At 39.9% G+C, this 11,956-nt stretch overlaps 1 annotated feature.

The window, feature by feature from the left end:
• Positions 3,133-3,634: an enhancer, noted in NCBI's record as "H3K4me1 hESC enhancer chr14:96467893-96468394 (GRCh37/hg19 assembly coordinates)". NCBI's record gives its function as "activates a minimal SCP1, AML or CMV promoter by ChIP-STARR-seq in primed H9 embryonic stem cells {active_cell/tissue: H9 hESC(primed)}" and the evidence as "EXISTENCE:reporter gene assay evidence [ECO:0000049][PMID:30033119]".

Here is an 11,956-nt window from a genome sequence, read left to right on the forward strand (position 1 = left end):
AGCCAATAGGCATTGTAACAAAAGTTTGTGAATAAACAAATGAGTAGATCTGGAAAGCATTTTGTAGTTTACAAAATGTTTTCGCAGACTTGACGCAATTTAATCCTCACACCAGCCCTGAAGGCTTGAAATTGTTATGAGAGAGAAAGAGACAGAGAGAGAGAGAAAGGAGACAGAGAGTAAAACAGGTCCCTGCCCTCAAAAGGTTTACAAGCTGATGAGGGAGACAGAGATATTGTAAGCACTGGACAGTAATAGAAACCTAGACAAGATACTGCAGAATCAGATTTGGGGGTCAAGAGGTAAAAAAGGTGAATTCCAACTTAAGGGGAAAATAAATAATATTCATTTTGGTTTTTCTATGAGTGAGAGAAATCCTAGCAATAACTTGAACACACCACACAGGGGCAGAAGAAGCTCATTATCATTAGGATTTAATATTCCTCCATGAGTGCGTGCCTGCTCATAATTCTACATTGAGTGGAGATGCCAAAAGAAATGAGGATCCTCACATTTATTGAGTGCCTACTGTATGCCAGAAAGTTTACATGGAGAGAGTTGGTTAATCCTTTAGCACAAGTAATCCTGTAAGGGATTCTTATCTGTCCTCCCCATCTCCTTTCCAAATTCTCTCCACTTCCTTTCCTCCCCCACCGTGATGTGACTTGTCCATTGTCACACATGTGGCCCAAAGTGGAGCTGGCGTTCAAATTCATGTCAGATTCCAAAGTCTAACTGCATTTCTTTCATTTCTTTTACTTTTTTTACTTTTTCTTTTTCACACTTTTAAAATCACACCAATAATACAAAAATACATTCTCATCATTAATAAAGACATTGCAGATAAACACATGTCACCCTGACCCTCACCTAATCCCACCACATGCCCACATATACAAATGTTTCTCTCAGTTTGGTGTATCTCTTTCCAGATGTTTGTCCATGCACTTGCAAACATGTAGATATTTATTTAAACAAAAATGAGTTCACATAGAATCATTATTTCACTGTTGTGATATACTTATTGTCTTAAAATATATCTTATAATTACATACTATGTTTAAAATTTCATGATGAGCAGAATTTGTTTTTGCAAAATAATCCATTAGAGTGGATGAAACTAATGAGGTCTTTGATTGATTATTGTTGTAGCTGGGTGATGGGGTTCATTATACTGCAATCTGCCATAATACAGTTTTAAAAAATACTCATAGACTTCCATTCTCCACTTAGGAGATAGGCAAATGGAAAAAAAAATCGCTTCCATCTTTACAACAACAAATATGCTGGACAACCTGTAAATCTTGCACCTGTTAAAGAACTGAGGTCACAGGGCAACCAACTAATGTGAAATCTAAGGAAATACAGGATCCCCCAAGAAGAAAGGGGAGGTGAGCCCTTGCTTACCTGTGGTAAATCTCACCAGACACTGGTAAGAAAAATCAGCTAAAAATGCTAACAAATTGCTAAAGGACAAATACAGACAGGTGAGAGGATATAGAACTACTGGGAATCACAAGCACAAGGGGAATATGTAGCTGCTAGCTAGCTGTTCTCCAAGCTAGATGATTACAAGAAAGATGGGGTCAGAGCATGAGTGCTGAGAGGCATCACTGATGGTGCTGACCCAGGAGAAAGGCACAGTAGTCACTGTGAGAAAAACATTAAACCCTACCTGGATCCTTTTTTCTATGTCTCCTACAGAACAAATGGCTTATACCCCTGGGGAAAGACAATACACACTCTGTCACACTTAGCACATTGATGGAAACCCATTCTAGCTGGGAGAAGGAACATAAAAATACATTCTACCTTTGCAGAAGGTGCAAGATCACTGTCCCCTGACCAGACCCACAGTTGGAAGTGTGCGATACTGCTGAGAAGGCCCCATCTCCAAGACCCAGGGACACAGTTCTTGCCTCTAAAACTGAGGCTTAGCCAGAACAGGAGAGGATGCCCCAGCTCTGCCTCTCTTTAGAGGCAGAAATGACTTCATGGCCAATGACTTGTGTGATCACACAGCCCATGCTTAGAAGGGTCCTGCATTTGGTTTAATACTCTACTATTGCCATCCTGACAGTTTTAATACTTTCTGAGCAAGGAGCCCTTCATTTTTATTTTTCACCTGCAAACTCTGTAGCACATCCTGTCAACAGGCTACAACAGCGTCAAGTAACAAATAACAGCAGTTTCCAGCTGGGAAAGAGACAAGAGCATGAAGAGAGACTCTTTCTCTCTTTCTCTCTCTGTCTCTCCAGGCATGGCACAAAGGAAAACTTAAAGTCAAGGGTGAAGCAGATATTGACTAAAAAAACCACTCTTTAAGAGCAGCCCATATGCTAGATATGACTTCATTGGTGAATTCTACCAAACATTCAAGGAAGAAATATGAATTACACACAAACTCTTCCAGAATGTAGAAGAGGAGGAAAGACTTCCCAGCTCATTTTCTGAGGCCAGCATTACACAGGTACCAAAACCATCCAAAGAAATTCAACACACACACACACACACACACACACACACACACACACACACACACACCTAGAGAAGAATATCACTCACGGATACAGATACAAAAAATTCTTCAGCAAAAATATTAGCAAATTGTGCCATATATATGTACGTATATGGTAATACATTATTACTAAGTGGGATCTTTTGCAGGAAGTTCAGGCCATTTCAACATCCAAAAATCAATCAATGTAATTAATCACATCAACAGACTAAAAATGAAAAACCATGTAACCCTCTCTATAGATGCAGAAAAAAATAATTTAATACAATTCAACAAGTCTTAAAAAATATTGAATAGAAAGAAACTTTCTTAACTCAAGAAAGGATACGTACCAAAAAAAAAAAAAAGCCACAGTTAATATCATACTTAAAATAGAAGGCTAAATATTTTCCCCAAAGATCAACAACAAGGCTGGGATGCCCCTCCTCACCATGCTTATTTAACATCATACTGGAGTTCCTAGCTAGTTTAATAATGTAATAAATAAATGTCTCTACTTGCAGACAATGTGAGTTTCTATGTAGAAAATCCCAAAGAATCTACCCAAAAAGCTACCAGAACTACTAATTTTCACAAGGTCATAGGATTAAAGGTCAACATTTAAAAATCAATCAGGGGGTGGGGTCAAGATGGCTGACTAGAAGCAGCAATGGTCGGAGGCTCCCACCGAGAAGAAACAAAACAGCATGCAAATCCTACACCTGCAACCAAGATATTCAGGTTCTATCATCAGGACTAACTAGGTGGTTGGCATGACCCACGGAGAGCAAAGAGAAGCAGGATGGTGCATCAGCCTACCTGAGAGCCACACGGGACAAGGGGAGCACCCCCATGCCCAGCCAAAGGAGGCGGTGAGTGAGTGTGCTACCCAGCCTGAGAAATTGTGCTTTTTCCACAGATCTGTGCAACCCACAGATCAGAAGTTTCCACTCATGAGCCTACGCCACCAGGGCCTTGGGTCCCAACCACAGAGCCACACAGATTCTCAACAGCCTCTCAGCTGAAATCTGCTTAAGACTACAGAGTTCCCAGCAGGAGGGGCAGCCATCATCACTGTGCCTGCCTGTTGTCTAAGTCATCTGAGCTCCCTAGGGGAGGGGCAGCAACCATCACTGTGGTTACCAGCTGCCAGCTGCCTAAGACAACTGAGATTCCTGAGAAAGGGGCAGCCATCATCACTGTGGCTGCCAGCTGGCTAAGAAAGTTGAGCTCCCCAGGGAAGAGACGGCAGACATCACTCCGGCTGCTAGCTGCCTAAGACACTGAACTCCTGGGGAGGGGGGACGGCAGCAGCCATCACTATAGCTCCAGGCTGCATTTCTCCCCTGCTAGAGCCAGGGAGACTGCATGGCTTGGTCCCGAGAGGTATTCCCCACAGCATAGCACACCAGCTATGACAGACTATGGCCAGACTGCCTCTTTAGGCTGGACCCTGACTCATCCCACCTCACTGGGTGGGGCCTCCCTGTAGGAACTCCAGTAACTCCAGCCAGGGGCTTAGGGGCAAAACTCTGATCTCCCTGGACCTGAGCCCCTATGGGGAGGGGTGGCCATGGTCTCTGTTGACCCGCAGACTTAGTCTCTCTGCTTGCTAGCTCTGAGGAATCTGGGCAGCCCAGATTAGTGGGTTTCCCCTTAGTGCAGCACACCCCCTCCACCAAGAGACAGCCAAAGTGCTTCATTAAATGGGTCCTGATTCCCATGCCCCCCAGTTGGGTGAGAGCTCCCAACAGGGGTCGCCAGACACCCTATACAGGAGCACTCCTACTGCCATCAGGTCAGTGCCCCTTGAAGTCAGAGATCCCAGTAGAAGGAGCAGGCACCCATCTTTGCTGTTCTCCAGCTTCCTCCAGTGACATCTCCAGGTGGGGGAAGGACCCAGATGAATAAGGCCTCAGCAAACTGCAGCAGCCCTACAGAAGAGGGATCTGACTGTTGAAATAAAAACAAGCAAGCAGAAAACAACAACAAGAGCTTCAACAAAAAAGTCCCCACAGAAAACTCGTCCAAAGGTCAGCAGCCTCAAAGATTGAAGCTAGACAATCTCATGAAGATGAGGAAGAATCAACAATAAAATGCTGAAAACTCAAAAGGCCAGGGTGCCTCTTCTCCAAATGATTGCAACAGCTCTCCAGCAGGGGCACAGAACTGGACGGGGAATGAGATGGACAAATTGACAGAAGTAGCCTTCAGAAGGTGGGTAGTAACAAAATTCACTGAGATAAAGGAGCATATTCTAACCCAATGCAAAGAAGCTAAGACCCATGACAAGAGGTTACAGGAGCTGTTAACTAGAATAACCAGCTTAGAGAGGAACATAAATGACCTGATGGAGTTGAAAAACACAGCACAAGAAATTTATGATCCAAATATAAGTATCAGTAGCTGAATCAATCAAGTCAAACAAAGAATATCAGAGCTTGAAGACTATGCTGCTGAATTAAGGGAGGCAGGAAAAATTAGAGAAAAAAGAATGAAAAGAAATGAACAAAACTTCCCAAAACAATGGGACTATGTAAAAAGACTAAACCTACGACTGATTGGAGTACCTGAAAGAGATGGGGATAATGCAACCAAGTTGGAAACACACTTCAGGATATCATCCAGGAGAACTTCCCCAACCTAGCAAGACAGGCCAATATTCAAATTCAGGAAATATAGAGAACCCCAGTAAGATACTCCATGAGAAGATTAACTCCAAGACACAAAATTATCAGATTCTCCAAGGTTGAAATGCAGGAAAAAAATGTTAAGGGCAGCCAGAGAGAAAGGCTGGATCACCTACAAAAGGAAGCGGTGGACCTCTCAGCAGAAACCCTACAAACCAGAAAAGAGTGGGGTCAATATTCAAAATTCTTAAAGAAAATAATTTTCAACCCAGAATTTCATATCCAGCCAAACTAAGCTTCATAAGCAAAGGAGAAATAAAATACTTTTCAGACAAGCAAATGCTGAGGGAACTTGTCACCATAAGGCCTGTCTTGCAAGAGCTCCTGAAGGAAGCAATAAATATGGAAAGGAAGAACTGGTACCAGCCACTGCAAAAACACACTGAAATACTAAGACCAATGACACTATGAAGAAACTGCATCCACTAGTGTGCAAAATAACCAGCTAGCATCATGATGACAGGATCAAATTCACACATAACAATATTAACCTTAAATGTAAATGGGCTAAATGCCCCAACTGAAAGACACAGATTGGCAAATTGGATAAAGAGTCAAGACCAATTGGTGTGCTGTATTCAAGAGACCCATCTCATGTGCAAAGACACTCATAGGCTCAAAATAAAGGGATGGAGGAAAATTTACCAAGTAAATGGAAAGCAGAAAAAAGCAGAGGTTGCAATCCTAGTTTCTGACAAAACAGACTTTAAACAAACAAGGATCAAAAAAGACAAAAAGGGCATTACATAATGGAAAAGAGATCAATTCAACATGAAGAACCAACTATCCTAAATATATATGAACCTAATACAGGAGTATCCAGATTGATAAAACAAGTTCTTAGAGACCTACAAAGAGACTTAAACTCCCACACAATAATAGTGGGAGACTTTAACACCTCACTGTCGATATATTAGACAGATCATTGAGAGAGAAAATTAAGGATATTCATGACTTGAACTCAGCTTTGGATAAGTGAACCTGATAGATATCTACAGAACTCTCCACCCCAAAACAACAGAATATACATTCTTCTCACTGCTACATGGCACTTACTGTAAAATCGATCACATAATTCAAAGTAAAACACTCCTCAGCAAATGCAAAAGAACAAAAATCATAATAAACAGTATCACAGAACACAGTGCAATCAAATTAGAACTCAAGATTATGAAACCCACTCAAAACCACACAACTACATGGAAATTGAACAACCTGCTCCTGAATGACTCCTGGGTAAATAATGAGATTAAAGCAGACTTCAAGAAGTTCTTTGAAACCAATGAGAACAAAGAGAAAATGTACCAGAGTATCTGGGAAGCAGCTAAACCAGTGTTAAGAGGGAAATTTATAGCACTAAATGCCCACATCAGAAAGCTAGAAAGATCTCAGATCGACACCCTAACATCACAACTAAAACAACTAGAGAAGCAAGAGCAAACAAATCCCAAAGCTAGCAGGAGACAAGAAATAACTAAGATCAGAGCAGAACTGAAGGAGATAGAGACAGGAAAAATCATTCAAAAACTCAATGAATCCAGGAGCTTGTTTTTTGAAAAAAATAATAAAATAGATGGCTAGCTAGACTAATAAAGAAGAAAAGAGAGAAGAATCAAATAGACACAATAAAAAATGATAAAGGGGATATCACCATTGACCCTGCAGAAATACAAACTACCATCCAAGAATACTATAAACACCTCTACCCAAATAAACTAGAAAATCTAGAAGAAATGGATAAATTCCTGGATGCATACACCTTCCCAAGACTAAATCAGAAATAAGTTGAATCCTTGAATAGACCAATAACCAGTCCTCAAGTTGAGGCAGTAATAAATAGCCTACCAACTAAAAAAAGCCCGGGACCAGATGGATTCACAGCTGAATTCTACCAGAGGTACAAAGAAGAGCTGGTACCATTCCTTTTGAAACTATTCTAAGCAATTGAAAAGGAGGGACTTCTCCCTAATTCATTTTATAAGGCCAGCGTCATCCTGATCCCCAAACCTGGCAGAGACACAGCAAAAGAAGAAAACTTCAGGTCAATATCCCTGATAAACATTGATGCAAAAATCCTCAATAAAACACTGGCAAACTGAGTCCAGCAGCACATCAAAAAGCTTATTCACCACAATCAAGTCAGCTTCATCCCTGGGATGCAAGCCTCATTCAACATACACAAATCAATAAATGTAATTCATCGCATAAACAGAACTAATGACAAAAATCACATGATCATCTCAATAGATGCAGAAAAGATCTTCGATGAAATTCAACATCCCTTTATGTTAAAAACTCTCAATAAACTAGGCATTGATGGATCATATTTCAAAATAATAAGAGCCACTTATGACAAAACCACAACCAATATCATACCAAATGAGCAAAAGCTGGAAGAATTTCCTCTGGAAATCGGCAGAAGACAAGGACGCCCCCTCTCTCAACCTATTCAACCTAGTATTGGAAGTTCTGGCCAGGGCAATCAGGCAAAAGGTAGAAATAAAAGGTATTCAAATCGGAAGAGAGGAAGTCAAATTGTCTCTGTTTGCAGATGACATAATCCTATAACTAGAAAACCCCATTGTCTCAGCCCAAAAGCTCTTTAAGCCAATAAGCAACTTCAGCAAAGTCTCAAGATACAAAATCAATGTGGAAAAATTACAAACATTCCTATACACCAACAATAGACAAGTGGAGAGACAAATCATGAATGAACTCTCATTCACAATTGCTACAAAGATAATAAAATATCTAGGAATTCAGCTAAAAAGGAATGTGAAGGACCTCTTCAAGGAGAACTACAAACCATTGCTCAAGGAAATAAGAGAGGATACAAACAAATGGAACAACATTCCATTCTCGTGGATAGGAAGAATCAATATCCTGAATATGGTCATACTGCCCAAAGTAATTTATAGACTCAATGCTATTTCCATCAAACTATCATTGACATTCTTCACAGAATTAGAAAGAACTATTTTAAAATTCACATGGAACCAAAAAAAGAGCCCATATAGCCAAGACAATCCTAAACAAAAAGAACAAAGCTGGAGGCATCATGCTACCTGATTTCAAACTACACTACAGGCTACAGTAACCAAAACATTGTACTGGTACCAAAACAGACACATAGACCAATGCAACAAAATAGAGATCTCAGAAATAAGACCACACATCTACAACCATCTGATCTTTGGTGAACCTGACACAAACAACTGAGAAAGAATTTTCTATTTAATAAATATTGCTTGGAAAACTGGCTAGCCATATGCAGAAAACTGAAGCTGGACCCCTTTGTTACACCTTATACAAAAATTAACTCAAGATGGATTAAAGACTTAAATGTAAAACCCAAAACTATAGCCAGATGCAGTGGCTCACGCCTGTAATCCCTGCACTTTGGGAGGCTGAGGCAGGTGGATCACGAGGTCAGGAGATCGAGACCATCCTGGCAAACACGGTGAAACCCCATCTCTACTGAAAATACAAAAAAATTAGCCTGATGTGGTGGCGGGCGCCTGTAGTCCCAGCTACTCGGGAGGCTGAGGCAGGATAATGGCATGAACCTGGGAGGTGGAGCTTGCAGTGAGCTGAGATCGCACCACTGCACTCCAGCCTGGGAGACAGTGAGACTCTGTCTCAAAACAAACAAACAAACAAAACAAAAAAAAACAAAACCCAATAAAACCCAAAACTATAAAACCCTAGAAGAAAATCTATGCAATACCATTCAGGACATAGGCATGGATGAAAATTTTATGATGAAATCGCCAAAAGCAATTGCAGCAAAAGCAAAAATTGACACATGGGATCTAATTAAAGTAAACAGCTTCTGCCCAGCAAAAGAAACTATCATCAGAGCAAACAGGCAACCTACAGAATGGGAAAAACTTTTGCAATCTACCCATTTGATAAAGGTCTAATATCCAGAATTGACAAGAAACTTAAACAAATTTACAAGAAAAAAATGAATAACCCCATCAAAAAATAGGCAAAGGACATGAACAGACACTTCTCAAATGAAGACATACATTTGGCCAACAACCATATGAGAAAAAAAGCTCAACATCACTGACCATTAAAGAAATGCAAATCAAAACCACAATGAGATACCATCTCACTCCAGTCAGAATGGTGATTATCAAAAAGTCAAGAAGCAACAGATGCTGGCAAGGCTGTGGAGAAATAGGAATGATTTACACTATTGGTGGGAATGTAAATTAGTTCAACCATTGTGGAAGACAGTGTGGCAATTCCTCAAGGATCTATAATCAGAAATACCATTTGAGCCACCAATTTCATTACTGTGTATATACCCACAGGAATATATATCATTCTATTATAAAGACACGTGCACATGTATGTTCATTGCAGCAGTATTCACAATAGTAAAGACATGGAACCAACCCAAATGCCCATCAATGATAGACTGGACAAAGAAAATGTGATACATATACACCATGGAATATTATGCAGCCATAAAAAGGAATGAGATCATGTCCTTTGCAGAGACATGGATGGAGGTGGAAACCATCATCCTCAGTAAACTGACACAGGAACAGAAAACCAAACACTGCATGTTCTCACTCATAAGTGGGAGCTGAACAATGAGAACATATGGACACAGGGAGGGTAACAACACACACTGGGACCTGTTGTTCCCCTCCCTGTGGGACCTGTTGCGGAGGGCAGGGGAAGGGAGAGCATCAGGGTAAATAGCTAATGCATGTGAGCTTAATACCTAGATGATGGGTTGATCTGTGCGGCAAACCACCACCGCACGTTTAACTACATAACAAACCTGCATGTTCTGCTCATGTATCCCAAAACTTAAAATAAAATCAAATTAAAAAAAAAAAACAGAGAAAGGGATTGCCAAAATTGTAAAGAAAAAATCATATTTCTTTATACTACCAATGAAAAATTAGAACTTGAAATAAAAATAACAGTACATTTTAAATACTACCAAAAATATAAAATACTTGGGCATAAATATTATAAAATATGTGCAATATCTATACTCTGATAGCTGCAAAACACTAATGAAAGCAATGAAAGAAGGCCTAAATAAATGAAGAGGCATATATTGTTCATGAATGGAAGATTCACTATTATTAAGATGGCAATTATCACCAAACTGATATATAGATTTAGTGCGATTCCAATCAAAATCTCAGGCCAGGAGTGGTGGCACATGCCTTTAATCCCAGCACTTTGGGAGGCTGAGGCAGGAGGATTGCTTGAGCTCAGGAGTTTGAGACCAGCCTGGGCAACACGGTGAAACCCCATGTCTACAAAAAATACAAAAATTAGCTGGGTGTAATTGTGTTCACCTGTAGTACCAGCTACTCAGGAGGCTGAGGTGGAAGGATCACCTGAGCCTGGGAAGTCGAGGCTGCAGTGAGCCATGATCATACCACTGCTCTCCAGCCTGGGTGAGAGAATGAGATCCTGTCTCAAAAAATAAAAATAAAAATAAATTTAAAAATCCTGGCAGGACTTTTTTGTAGAAATTGGCAAAGTAATTCTAAAATTTTTATGGAAATTTTAAAAAATAACTAGAATGGCAAAACAAATTGTAAGAAAAGTAGCAAAATTGGAAGACTCACACTACCAGATTTTCAGGCTTACTATAAAGCTGGCAGTCAAGAGAATCTGCTATTAGAAAAGGATTAACATCTAGATTAGTGGAACAGACTAGAATAGACCAATACACATGTGGTCATTTGGTTTTTGACAAAGTCCCAAAGGCAACTTAATGGAGAAATGATAGTTTTTCTCAACAAATTGTTCTTGGACAATTGAATATCCCTAGGCAAATAAATGGATATGCCTCAAGGCATGCATTACCCACTATAGAAATATTAACTCAAAATAGATCTCAGGCCTAAATGTAAAGCCTAAAACCACAATACTTTTGGGAAAAAAAAATAGGAGAAAATCTTTATAGCCTTAATTAGGTAAAGCTTTCTTAAATACAACACCAAAAACATGACCCATAAAAGAAAATATGATAAATAGGGCCTAATCAAAATTAAGAACTTCTGCCCTTTGAAAGACACTTTAAAAAATGGAAAGACCAGCCACAGACTGGGAGGAAATGTTTGACATTACATGTCAGGTAAAAGACTTGTTTCTAATGTATAAAGAACTTTTAAAACTCAATAAACAAACAACTTTTAAAATAGACAAGATATTTAAATGGGAACTTTTATCAAAGAAGATATACAGATAACAAATAAGTATATGAAAAGATGCTCAATGTCCTTAGTCATGAGGAAAATAGAATTTTGGACCAAAATGAGATAAAGCTACATACCAATTAACATAACTTTATAAAAAGCAAACCTGATGACAGGAAGCTTAGGTAAGGATGAGGTGCAACTGGAACTCTCATACCTTGCTGTTGGGAATGCAAATGGTACAGACACTTATACTTTGGCATTTTCTCACTGTATGAGGCCATTCTTGCATTGCTATAAAGAAATACCTGAGACTGGGTAATTTATAAAGATAAGAGGTTTAATTGGTTCACGGTTCTGCAGGCTTTACAGAAAGCATAGTGCTGGCATCTGCTCAGCTTCTAGGGAGGCTTCCGGAAACTTACAATCATGGCAGAAGGCAAAGGGTAATCAGGCATGTCACATGGTGAAAGAAACAGCAAGAAAGAGAGAATGGAGAGGGGGAGGTGCCACACACTTTTAAACGACCAGATCTCATGTGAACTCAGAGCAAGAGCTCACTTATCATCAAAGGGATGGCTGAAGCC

This window comes from Homo sapiens, chromosome 14 (assembly GCF_000001405.40).
Source record: "Homo sapiens chromosome 14, GRCh38.p14 Primary Assembly".
NCBI classification, from domain to species: Eukaryota; Metazoa; Chordata; class Mammalia; order Primates; family Hominidae; genus Homo; species Homo sapiens.